This window comes from Homo sapiens, chromosome 6 (genome assembly GCF_000001405.40).
Source record: "Homo sapiens chromosome 6, GRCh38.p14 Primary Assembly".
NCBI classification, from domain to species: Eukaryota; Metazoa; Chordata; class Mammalia; order Primates; family Hominidae; genus Homo; species Homo sapiens.
Genome location: NC_000006.12, coordinates 77,212,121 through 77,226,184, shown reverse-complemented (window position 1 = coordinate 77,226,184; position 14,064 = coordinate 77,212,121). Strand labels below are relative to the sequence as shown.

The window sequence follows — 14,064 nt, the reverse complement described above, 5'->3', positions numbered from 1 at the left end:
AGCTGTCTCAAATATAAACAAATTCAAAGCAAGATACTTAGCTTATACCATACGTAAAAACTGTAAATGTAAAAAACAAAAGTATAAGGCTAATAAAACAACATTTATGAGAATATTTTTGTCACTTAAAAGTGGGTAGATTTTTTTAAAAGGTCCAAACAGCATAGATCATATGTCAAAAAACTTGATTGATTTGTTGATATTAAGATAATAGCTCTGAGGTCAATGAGATTACATGAACAAAATTGATAGATAATAGATGACTGTTTAGGAAAAGATATTTTCAATTCTTAAAACCACAATAGGGATTTATATATTTACTGTAAAGTGAAATATTTCAAAACCAAGGAATATATGGCAGAATACCCAGTTAAAAAGATGGCTAAAAGATAAGAAGATTTTAATAGGCAATTCATAGATTCGGAAACTCACGTATATAACAAGCATATGGAGATGCTAAAACTCAGTAGCAAATTTGAAAAATGCAAATTGAAATAACATGCATATTCATCTGAATCACAAAAACTAGAAAAACAATAATAACAATTGTTGACAATAAGTTTTGGGGTAAAAATTCTCATGCCAAAATTATGGCACTATGTGCTGGTACAAGTCTAATGTTTTTTGAAAATTGTTTTTTTAAAAAAATAAATCTGGCAGTATTTAACAGAATTAAGAATGTGTATCTTCAGTGTCACTATAGGTAGCACTCCTGGATATATAAACCAATTAGTTCACAAACAGATTGTAAGAAACATAAACAAGGACAATTATTCTTGTTATGTTCTGGATAGTAGAGAGCTGGAAGCAAACTAGGTATACTTTCAGGGAAGGATAAATAAAATGCAGCCACTGCATACTGTAGTGTTCTCTGTAGCAGCTACAATCAACACATAGACACTCTAAATGTGTATATGGTAGCATGACTAGATCTCTAGTGTGGAGTGAAAGAAGAAACAGAATGCAATTTATAGCATAATGCCATTTAAAACAAAACAATGCACTTATTTGATGAAGACATATGCATATTTAAGTAATTATCAAGCTACCAGATGGGTTCTTATAGCTATAGAGGGAAATGGGAATACGGATTTGCAAACAGGGTGGGAAGCTGAAATAAAATAAAACAGTAGAGGGACTGTATGGACTGATGATGATAACATATTGTGAAATGAGGAGTATGATTATCACAACCCATATCTTTGAATGCTACCCCTTCCCCTACCACAGACTCATAGTGAGCATCAACTCTTTTTAATTCAATTAGTTTAATGTGTTAATGACAGAAGCACACTCTCTTTCAGTCTCTCTCTCTCTTTCCTTTCTCTTACCATGGAGAAAAATTATTTTTGAGCTTTGTCTTCTAAAAATATTGTGTATTCTCTCTTTTTGTACTCTCAAGAAATAACCAAGAAAGAAGATTTCCTATCACATGCCTGAATTCTTGCAATTCAACTGAAGTGATAATTAAGAAGTCCCAGTTGAAAGAACCTCTGGGGTTTGCCTAACAGAGACTTTAATTTTCTCTCTGCCTGGAATAATTTTATTGTTCATTTCCAATCCTGCGTGAAAGGAGGAGTGAGCTTTTATATTGACCTCCTTTGACATTTATCTATTGGTATTATTATCTTCACATGACTTTAGGATGACAAAATCTGTATGGTTTTGTTTTGTTGATGACAAACCAGGTTCTTTTGGGCATGGAGCTAATGACTTCTACCCCTTTACAGTAAAAATACAAGTCCTCCAACTCTGCCAACCATTAAAGATCCATGTGAGCTTTTTGGATTTGCATGTGCAACAGTACTTAATTATATATTTATCTATCTTCATTGACATGGAATTAGATGTAAGGGCATTTCTATACAGAAACTGTCCCAATGTAGATAGCTATTTCTAATCTCTGTTAATGTTGTCTTAGTTGTTTTTAAATGATGTATTTTGAGAACTGGATGCAGGGTATCCAAATAATCTCAATAAAAGATGGTAGTCCTTAATTTGAAGTGCCATGCTTTGCTCTGAATTCCAATGAAGGAAAAAAAGGAAAAGAAACTTTTATCTCTTATCTTTCATATCTTAATGCAAATGCATGCCAACACTTTTTTTCTGTCAATAAAATAAGAGAAAGCCAGAAGTTTGAAAATGAGGTATTAGCAAACAAATCCCATAACATTTACTACAATATAAATCTTGCCCTCTTTTCTTACTTTGTAAGTTAGAGGAAAGTTTACTTGATTAAGATCAGTCATCTAGACAAGCAAAGATTTGTGTCTAAGCTCTAAAGCAAACTAGCTGCGTTACTTAGAGAAACAAACTTCAATTTTCAGGCCCAAGTTTGCTTGAAAGATTAAATAAAATAATGCATAAAATAGTTATTCACCACATGTAACACTTGACAAGTGTGTGCGGTAAAATATATAATATGATATTTGAATTAGTGTGTTTCCATGCTGTTGATAAAGACATACCTGAGACTGGGCAATTTATAAAAGAAAGAGGTTTAATTGGACTTACAGTTCCACATGGCTGGGGAGGCCTCACAATCATGGTAGAAGACAAGGAGGAGCAAGTCACATCTTACGTGGATGTTGGCAGGCAAAGAGAGCTTGTGCAGGGAAACTCCCCCTTATAATTCCATTAGATCTCTTGAGACTTATTTGAGAACAGCAATGGAAAGACCCACCCCCATAACCATAATTCAGTCATCTCCCACCAGGTCCATCCCACAGAAGGTAGGAATTATGGGAGCTACAAGATGAGATTTGGGTGGGCACACAGAAGCAAACCATATCATTCTGCCCCTGGCCCCTCCCAAACCTCATATCTTCACATTTCAAAACCAATCATGCCTTCCCAACAGCCCCCCAAAGTCTCAACTCACTTCAGCATTAACCCAAAAGTCCAAGTCCAAGGTCTCATCTGAAACAATGCAAGTCCCTTCTGCCTATGAGCCCATAAAATCAAATGCAAGTTAGTTACTTCCTAGATACAATGTGAGTACAGGCATTGGATAAATATAGTCATTCCAAATATGAGAAATTGGCCAAAATGAAGGGGCTACAGACACCATGCAATTCCAGAATCGAGCCGGGCAGTCAAATCTTAAAGTTCCGAAATGATCTCCTTTGACTCCATGTCTCGTATCCGGGTCATGCTGATGCAAGAGGTGGGTTCCCATGGTCTTGGGCAGCTCCACTCTTGTGGTTTTGCAGGGTACAGTGTCCATCCTGGCTGCTTTCATGGGCTGGCATTGAATGTCTGCAGCTTTTCCAGGCACACAGTGCAAGCTGTTGGTGGATCTACCATTCTGGGGTCTGGAGGACAGTGGCCCTCTTCTCACAGCTCCACTAGGTGTTGCCCCAGTAAGGACCCTGTGTGGGGGCTCCAAGCCCACATTTCCCTTCTAGGGATTTTTCATGAGGGCCCCACCCCTGTATCAAACTTCTGCATTGGCATCCAGGCATTTCCATACATCTTCTTAAATCAAGGTGGAGGTTCCCAAACCTCAATCCTTGACTTCTGTGCACCCACAGGCTCAACACCATGTGGCAGCTGCCAAGCCTTAGGGCTTCCACCCTCTGAAGCAACAGCCTAACCTGTACATTGGCCCCTTTTAGTCACAGGTGGAGCAGCTGGGACACAGGGCACCAAGTGCCTAGGATGAACACAGCATGGGGACCCTGGGCCCAGCCCACAAAACCATTTTTTCCTCCTAGGCTTCTGGGCCTGTGATTGGAGAGGCTGCCTTGAAGACCTCTGCCATGCCCTGGAGACATTTTCTCCATTGTCTTGGGGATTAACATTTGTCTCCTCGTTACTCATGCAAATTTCTGCAGCCAGCTTGAATTTCTTCTCAGAAAATGGAATTTTCTTTGCTATCGCATTGTCAGGCTGCAAATTTTACAAACCTTTATGCTGTGTTTCCCTTTTGAAACTGAATGTCTTTAACAGCCCCCAAGTAAGCTCTTGAGTTCTTTGCTGCTTAGAAATTTCTTCCGCCAGTTACCCTAAATAATCTCTCTCAAGTTCAAAGTTCCACAAATATCTGGGGCGGGGCAAAATGCCACCTGTTTATTTACTAAAACATAACAAGAGTCACCTTTACTCCAGTTAACAAGTTCCTTTCCATCTGAGACCACCCCCGACTGGACCTTATTGTTCATATCACTATCAGCAATTTTGTCAAAGCCATTCAACAAGTCTCTAGGAAATTCAAAACTTTCCCACATCTGTCTGTCTTCTGAGCCTTCCAAACTCTTCCAACCTCTGCCTGTTACCCAGTTCTAAAGTTGCTTCCACATTTTTGAGTATCTTTTCAGCAATGTCCCACTCTATTGGTACCAATTTACTTTATTGGTCTGTTTCATGCTGCCGATAAAGACATACCAGAGACTGGGCAATTTACAAAAGAAAGAGTTTTAATTGGATTCATAGTTCCACATGCTTGGGGAGACCTCACAATCATGGTTGAAGGCAAGGAGGAGCAAATCACATTTTATGTGGATGGTGGCAGGCAAAGAGAGCTTGTGCTGGGATACTCCCCCTTATAATACTGTCACATCTCATGAGATTTATTTGCTATCACGAGAACAGCACAGGAACAACCTGCCCCCATAATTCAATAATCTACCACTGGGTCTGTCCCACAACATGTGGGAATTATGGGAGCTACAAAATGAGATTTGGGTGGGGACAAAGAGCCAAACCATATCAATATTTAATTTTTTTCTTTGCCCTTAGTGTCTCAATGTGTATATTGTTTTTTTTTTTTTTTTAATTTTATTTTAGGACAGGCACAGTGGCTCACGCCTGTAATCCCAGCACTTTGGGAGGCCGAGGCAGGTAGATTACCTGAGGTCAGGAGTTTGTGACCACCCTGGTCAACATGGTGAAACCTTGTCTCTATTAAAAATACCAAAAATTAGCCAGGCATAGTGGCAGGTGCCTGTAATCCCAGCTACTCAGGAGGCTGAGACAGGAGAATCACTTGAACTGGGGAGGCGGAGCTTGCAGTGAGCCGAGATCATGCCATTGCACTCCAGCCTGGGCAAAAGAGCAAAACTCCATCTCAAGAAAAAAAAAAAACAACTTTTATTTTAGGTTCGGGGGTACATCTGAAGTTTTCTTATATAGGTAAACTGTGTGTTCACAGGGCTTTGGTGTATAGATTATTTTTTAACTCAGGCAATAAGTATAGTATTGACTAAGTACCTTTTCTGATCCTTGCCTTCCTCCCACCCACCACCCTAAGTAGACTCCAGTGTCTGTTGTTTCCAACTTTGTGTCCATGCATTCTCATTGTTTAGCTCCCACTTATAAGTGAGAACATGCAGTATTTGGTTTTCTGTTCCTGCATTAGTTTGCTTAGGAGAGTGGCCTCCATCTCCAACCACGTCCCTAGAAAGGACATGATCTCATTCTTTTTTTATGGCTTCATAGCATTCCATGGTGTATATGTACCATATGTACCATATTTTTTGTATCTAGCCTACCACTGATGGGAATTTAGGTTGATTCCATGTTTTTGCTACTGTGAATAGTGCTTCAGTGAACATATGCATGGATATGTCTTTATGGTAGAAAAATTTATATCCCTTTGGGTATATACCCAGTTATGGGATTGCTAAATGGACTGGTATTTCTGCTTCAAGATTTTTGAGGAATTGACACACTGCTTTTTGCAATGGCTGAACTAATTTACACTCTCACCAACAGTGTGTAAGCATTCCTTTTTCTCTGCAACCTTGCCAGCATCTGATATTTTTTGATGTTTTCATAGTAGCCATTCTGACTGGTGTGAGATGGTATCTCATTGTGGTTTTGATTTGCATCTCTCTAATAATCAATGATGTTGAGCAGTTTTTATATGCTTGTTGGCAGCATGTATGTCTTCTTTTGAGAAGTGTTTGTTTATGCCCTGTGCCCAATTTTTAATGGGGTTGCATGTTCTTTGCTTATAAATTTGTTTAAGTTCCTTACACATTCTGGATGTTAGACCACTGTCAAATGCACAGTTTACAAATATTTTCTCCCATTCTGTAGGTTATCTGTTTACTCTGTTGACACTTTGTTTTGCTGTACAGAAGTTCTTTAGTTTGATTAGGTCCTATTTGTCAACTTTTGCTTTTGTTGCAATTGCTTTTGGCATCTTCACTGTGAATTTTTTTCTAGGTCTTATGTCCAGAATGATAGTTCTTAAGTTTTCTTCCAGGGTTTTACCTATAATTAAATGTAAAAGCTATAATTTTAGGTTTTACATTTAAGTCTTTAATCCATCTTGAGTTGATTTTTGCATATGGTGTAAGGAAGGCGTCCAATTTTACTCTTTTGCATATTACTAGCCTTTTATTTCAGCACTATTTATTGAATAAGGAGTCCTTTTCCTATTGCTTGTTATTGTTGGTTTTGTTAAAGAGCAAATGGTTGTGTGTGGCTTTATTTGTGGGTTCTCTAATCTGTTCTGTTGGTCTGTGTCTCTGTTTTTGTACCAGTACCATGCTGTTTTGGTTACAATAGCCTGGTAGTATAGTTTGAAGACAGGTAACATAATATCTCCAGCTTTGGTCTTTTTGCTTAGGATTGCCTTGGCTATTCAGGCTCTTTAAAGAGTTTATGTAATATGATAGAAGTATAAGGGAAATAAGAAAAAATATTAATTAACACTAATTTTTGGGAGATGATGCATTAAATAAGAGACTATTTTCAAATTCTGCTTTCCTTGGAGAGTCAATATTTAGAGAATATGTTAATATTATCCAGTCTCCATAAGTGGAGTCCTAGAAGATTCTTTTCAATTTCTTTGATAATTAGTTGCTGAATTGTACTGCTTGTGTAAGATTACAGTATAAGGATATCTCTGAACTTACATCAACTTGCTTGTAAATAGTATCCTTTATGTCAGTAAGTTTTTTTAAAGAGCATAAAATTCTTTACCCTTAGATTTTATTTTCTTTAAAACAACCACTATTTGGAAATGAGGTGTTTACTGATAAACTAGAAAAAATATTTTTATTATGCATGAATAATTTGTAAACATTGTTAAAATAAATCATACTGCAGCAGGTAAGCAGCCAGAGCCAACACTTACACATTTGCAAATAAATATATATTGACACATGATTTTCAACAAAAACATGCACAGAAATATTTACAATTATGGAAAAATCTGTTCTTTAATTATACACCAGTTAGTTGTCTCAATAATTAATAATTATTCATGTAAAATGAGTAACACTAGGAAAGCTACTTTGCTTCCTGGATATAAATGGGATATTTTCATATAATGAGCTTTCTAACAGAAATTTATTGGTAGTTTTTAACTGACATGGTGACCCTTTACTTATTTGGAATAAAAGTATGTTGAATAAAGCCACTTTATCTACATCATTATTACTAGGTAATCTGTTAATAGGGTTAGAATTCCCAGAACTTGAGATCATTTTCACTGTAATCTTTTCTGATAGAGGTCTAGGAATCACTTGTTAAAATGTAGGTACCCCTGGCATTAGCTAATAACTATCAATTATCTATTATCATCATAGCATTGGCTATCATATTAACTGCATTCATCTAGCTGCGCTCTTCAGGAGACCATACTGGGAAATAATTGTCTATGAGTCTTTTATGTTTCTGCATGTCTTGACAGTAAGATCACAGAGTGCCCTTTGTTCTTTTCAAAGATTTTTTTCAATTCCAAACTACCTTGGAAGATAGAAATGGTATCTCTTTCCAGAGCAAGAAATTGTTTTCTGCCTAGTATAATAAATTAATGTCTTTCACCAAAGCCAAGTTTAGGTAGGTTTCTTGCAGCCCATTATAAAAGACTTTTTCCTAAGCTTGAAATTCCTTAACAAAACCCACTGTGTGGAGCATCCATCTAGATTTCTATATATCATTTCCATGTGACTTGAGTGCCAAAAGGAACAAATGTAACCAGTAAACTCATGCTGCTTGCTGTGCTGTGAGTAATGAAGACTTTTTTCTCTGAACAAGTGTTTCATATTTTCTACCTGCATCCATGAAACTGAAGCAGGCTAACTCATTAGCTTACAAGTAGGATGCTATCACAAACCATTCAGCATTCTTGACAGGCCACAAAGGAGATAACACTGTGTTGGGAAAGTGAAGAAAGGGATAGATCCAGAATGTGGGTAGTCTATGGAGAATAAGTACACATGTGTTATCTGGATGCAGAAATATGTAGAAAGTGAGGGGTACTGGAATCTCAAGGGAAAATGTTTGAAGAAGAGAGGATAATTTCAGAGAAGAATGAAGGGACTTTGTAAGAGACAATGATCCATTTTACTTTTTGAAATTAACAATCTAATGCCTTTTAAGTCTTTAGCATGAGGAGAAGGTAGGGCTTATGTTCAGTCTCAATGACCCTAGAATATGAAAAGGGAAAGTCCTATTGTCAATTTGTGTCCCTGGAGAGATGAAATAAATTGTGCTAAAATGAGAAAACACTCTTTTAAATGAAGAGAATATTGAAATCAAGTAAAGTCATCAAAGAAAATAATGAAATATGCTTCTATGCTGCAGTAACAAGTGAATAAACAGTAAAGAAAATACTCAGGCCTTCTAACTATTCCCATCCCCCTTCCACTTTCAGTCCATTTTCCATATAGCAGCTAGAATAATTCCTCTAAAATCTAAGCCACGTCCTATCAGTCTACTGCTCAAAATTCTTCCTGTGCATTCCTAGAGTTTTCAAAACTAAACCCAAATTTACTCTCCATGACATATAAAGCCCACTATGACTTGGTTGCTTACTATCCCTCTGGCTTCAACAGTGATCATTCTTCCACTCATTTTCTCATCTCCAGCCACTCTGGCCACCTTGCTATTCATCATACATGCCAAGATTTCTCTCATCTTGGAGTCTTTGTACTTGCTGTTTTCCCTGTCTGGGGTGCTTCCCCACTATACATCCTTCGGGCTTGATTACTTATCTTCTGGGGTTTTTGTTTTTGTTGTTAAATTTTTCTCTTTAAGAAAGACTTTCTGACCTCCATCTATAAAATAGCACTTATTTGCCAACTGCCACTCTCTATTCTATTTTTTATTCTTTTTAAAAATTATACTTAATGCCACATGACATAATATATGTACACATGTACACATGACATGTAAGTGCACACACATGCACACATAGCCACTTCCAGGTTACTTCATCTGCCATGTATATGAACATCTAAAAATCTCCTTTGTATGTGCATTTGATCAGGTGACATTTATTAGGAAGCAGTTGATGATTATGTCCTCATTTACAGTTTTACAAAAATGAGTTTATCATTCAACAAGGCCTCTGATATTTGATAAGTAGAGTGACTATAAAGTTTACTATTCAAAGGAACCTAGAGAACAGCACCTTGAGAATCAAAGATATAGTTGATAATTTCTTTAGGATACAAGCAAACTTGGATTTTCTTAGGCAATCCATGAGGCATAGTTATCCTATTGATAAGTGAAGCTGGTTGGGAATTCAGGCAAGAAGCTTCCTCCTGTGTCAGGATTGCCCCACTCCACCAATATTTTATGCTTCTGTTTATGCTTCAAGACTCTCCTCCTACTTCACTTCCTTCCTGAGACCTCTGAGGATGCCATTATGCCCTTAAGGGTCAGAAGAGACAGCTACCATTGTCTTTCTCTCAGACTTTTTTACATATCTAAGTTCAGTTGTGACCCCTCATGACCTAGCAGTGCCTAACTCCCATTAGACACTCAATAAATCTCCACTGTATGATTTAATTAATGACTTGAGGCTAACTTCTTACAGAAATGTGCAGATCCATCTGGGAATGGGGCTTGGGTTGGAATATCAGACCACAAAATCCACTAACAGGTTGATGGAGAGAGTCAATAGTCTCTTGATGCAGGTCTCGGTCCTGACCCTATTATCAGAGATGAAAGTTCTGACCTTTATATCTGAGAGAGTGATGCTCTACACCACAAAATTCCAAGGGAAAACTCATTTTTCTTTTCAAGATAGCTTTTTTTTTTTTTTGGCCAACTTCACATTTTTTCTAAAAGGCAAGAAGCCAACTGCCCGTCTTTCTAGCAGCCATTTGAGCTGCCTGCTTTACTCTCCTCTGGAGCTTGGCAATTAACTACTGCTAGAAACTCTCTCGTCAGGACTCTAGGAAGTCTTTTAATACCATCACTTCTTCAATTTTCTCTACTAAGGAAGTCTTCACAGTTCATTAACTGAGTATCAATTCTAGCATAATCTTTCTGTATGTTTTTCTTAAACCTGCAACATTTCACCTTTTGGGCATTGGACATATATCACATAAGTTTTTTTATTATTATTTTATTTTCTTGTTTTAGTTTGTTGTTTTTTCCCCCATTTTTTCTTAATAAGAACATCATTATTTATGGAGGAGTCATGTCTTTTGCTGGAAAAAGAAAAACCTTCAGAAAAGAAATCACTGAAGAGTAGTTTGTTATTATTATTATTTTTTTGGTGGGTGGGGAGAGTGCTTAACAAACATGGCAGGTTATTTTATTTCCAAGAATAGTAAAGGAGCCATAAGAACAAAAACCATGGTCTTATTATCAGTTCATCTTAGAACATAACTCCATGTTGTATAGATCCTGGTGTTCAAAAAACACAAAGAGCTGAAATGTCTAATATGGTAATCACTAACTTAGGTGGCTAGTTCAAATTGAGATGTGTTATGTGTTAAATGCACACTGATTCCAAGACACAATGTATAAAAAAGAATGTAAAATATACTATGAATACTTTTTATATTGATTGCATTTTGAAATGATAATATTTTCTATATAGTATGTTAAATAAAATACTTTTTTTTGAGATGGGGTCTGGCTATGTTGCCCATGCTGGTCTTGAATTCTTGGCCTCAAGTGATCTTCCCTTTTCACCCTCCCAGTAGCTGGGATTACAGGAGTGCAGCACTGCAACTAGCTAAAATACATTTTTAAAATGTCACTTATTTGTTTTTATGTATTTAATGTGGCCAGTAGAGAAATTTACAAGTACATATGCAATTCACATTATATTTCTCCTGGAAAACACTGACTTAGAGGATTAAAAACAATAAGTAATCAATAAAATAGCTATGCAAAACATTTAATTCTTTTTGCCTAATGATTATTATACCCATTGATGTCCCTCTTTCTGAAGGAGTATAAAGAGAGTATGCCTTTGTTTCATGCTCACTGTTTTGAGTTCTAATGCTGCTTTGACAATTTAGGCTTCTGTTTGTTGTCTTTGGCAAGTGGCTTAACCTCATGAGCTCTAATTTTCTCACTTGTAAAATCTGGCAATATCTATATCCACCAATAAGGGGGATTTTGAAACTATTTTATTCACAGTAAATATTATAAGTATTTTATTTGTCTTGTTTTATAGGAAGCTGTATTATTTTACTATTCAATTATGTTTTGAATGTTTAAATATTTGATTAGACATTTTGGCTGAATGGAAACTTGCCTAATATCTTTAAAAGAAGAAATACATGATTAACTTCATCATCTGGTAGAAAAAGATTCTGAAAGGTAGACAATCTGTGGAGAAGAAAGTAAAGAAGTTGAGTAAGTATGCAACAAACATACCAAAGCACCTATGCACAAGTGTACACTGTATGTGTCAAGGTAGTCTCTGTTTTTACTTTCATATTTAGTAGCAACCTGTGTAAGTATATTTTATGCAAATTTCCTTCAAGTACTGATTTTCAGATAATTTTGTCAAGTTGATGCATTCTTCTTTTCAAATTCTTCCATAAATACCATATATATTAGGGACCCACTTGCCCTGGATTCATGTTTAAATGTTCAATTAAGAGAAAATTCTGTCTAACACCTTTTCTAAACACTCTGTGGCTTGCTTATAGGCAATGACTATTCCTGGGAAGCCCCTGTGTCTAAAAGCCCATTCACCTCACCTGCAACCAGGAATACTCAATTCATCTTGGCTTGGCCTGCAAACCCATGAGGTGCATTTGCCTCTCAATTAAAGATATGCATTTATTTCTTCTGAAAATTTCTTCAAGTTCTTGACCTATATATTAAGAGTAAACACATACTTTCAGGACTATCGAGCCCTGCCAAAGAACACAGACAAAGTCTTAGAGGCAGACAGGCAAACTCTTGAATATGTCTCAGCTCAAGTGTCATTTCTGGTCTTCAACTGTGGCGTATCCATAGGCCATAAATAGACTCTCTACCTAAGGCTCGCATGTGGCTGAAAACATCCAAGATTTAACAAGGAAGAAAGGAAAATCAATACTCATTTTTATCTCACTTTTTCCCTTTTTTTCCAAGCAGTCTTGAGTCACCTCCATTGCTATCTCATTTCTTTCTTCGCTTTATCCTCTGATGACCTCTCTTTACCATTTGTATTCTGGACTGAATCTCTAATATCGTCCTCAATTTGCTCGTTGTTATTTTTAAAACTTTTCTTTTGAAACTGTTTTCAAAGTCAATTGTCTTTCATATTAAATAGCCATTTATTATCAACCTCTAAATGTGCGTCAGTAGTTCCCACATTTAAGCCTGCATCAGAATCACCTGGAGGTTTGTCAAAACTCAGAGTTTCCGATTTAGTAGGTTTGGGGTGGGATGTAAGCATTTGCATTTCTAACAAGTTCCAAAGTGATGCTGAAGCTCTTTGAGAACTGCTAACTTAAGCAATGCTGTTTGGGGCCATCATCATGACAACTAGTTTGAAGTAATATAACTATCATGACTGATTTCTACTTAGGTTTTGGGCGATTGCATTGAAAGCAAGATCCCTAGCTTTGGAAGTTTGAAGGCTTGAGGAGTCTGAGGCTATAGTGCTGGGTCAGTGCTCAATTTGGTCGATACACAACGGGCATGAGGACTAGTGGATTAGTTGGGGAGTCTTTTTTTTTAAAATGCTCTGAACTGAGAAATAGTTGGCTACTGCAAAAGATTATTCTTCTATCTTTTTTTCCAGGTGTCTGCTGTGTGCTTGCTAATTAAATTTGAGAATCTGTAATACACTGCTTAGAACAGCAGGGATTTGTCATATTTGGACGAAAACAGAACAAAATTAAAAAAAAAATCTAGATAGCCTGTCTTTTTGCCATCCTTTTATTTAACTTAAATAAAAGAAATAGTATAAATACTAGGCTCTGTCATTTTTCACAAATTTAGCTCTTAAAGAACATCATTTCTCTCTGGTTAAAAGCCTGTGGGCTCAGTACCACGGCCCTCAGGATCTTATTTCTCCATTCTCTCTCTTGTTTCCTCCTCTTTGATAAATGTATATTTCTATGGTGACTCAGTTTTTAGCTACTTAGTATTTTACTGTTGCTTCAGCAGAAACATGAAGGAGGCCTTTGAATTAGGCCTTCCAGCCTCTAAATTGTTACATGCCATTAAGGGACATTAGTGCCCATAAACCACAAACTAACCAATGAAAACTGAACTGCTGGTTGCATTTATAATAACGAAGGAAATGCAGTATATGAAAAATCATGGAGGAATATAGTTTCCTAATATATTCTGAAAGTGTGTGTTTAGGGATCTTTTTTTCTTTTCTTTTTTAATAATTTAGTTTGGAATGGATTGCACTAGATGATAGCTTGATGAATTTTGCTGACTGGGGGCAGTAGGGTAAAATGAATTCTAATTGTTTATTTTTAAAAATCAATGTCTTCCAGTAATGTCGGGAACTAAATGCACTCTGGTAAAGAGGATATGCTAACTAAAGCCATGTTTGATAAGTGTTTAGTTTCCTTGTCAGTTGTTTTAGTTGAGTCCAAGTCAGCATTATCTTTCTGAATGGATATAGGGCTTATCTAATAACACTTCCAAAATAGAAAGTCAAATAATCTCAGTCAATGAGTTAAACTACATGCTTCACCTTGCCTGTTTGCTTAGTTTCATCCATCTCCAAGCTGCCTAAATTCCAAGTATTCAAATTATCCTTTCATTTTTAAATGACTCGCCTTCAAGGTTTAAAAAATGACAGCACAACTACCATTTGCCCCAATCTGTGATGATTAAACGTAGCAACTCACGTACTCAGATGGCTAGTGCAGAAAGAAAAAGAGGGAGACAGTGAAATGAAAT

At 36.5% G+C, this 14,064-nt stretch overlaps 1 long non-coding RNA gene across 5 annotated transcripts in view; it reads left to right on the top strand.

The window, feature by feature from the left end:
- Window positions 1–14,064, top strand: part of LOC101928570 (uncharacterized) — a 248,816-nt gene that overhangs the window by 91,295 nt on the left and 143,457 nt on the right. The window contains exon 5 of one of the 5 annotated variants that reach the window (XR_241864.5): window positions 11,434–11,559. The exons of the other annotated variants lie outside the window; for them this stretch is intronic. This is a non-coding gene — a long non-coding RNA (uncharacterized LOC101928570). The remainder of the gene's footprint in view (window positions 1–11,433; window positions 11,560–14,064) is intronic. 5 annotated transcript variants of the gene reach the window in all.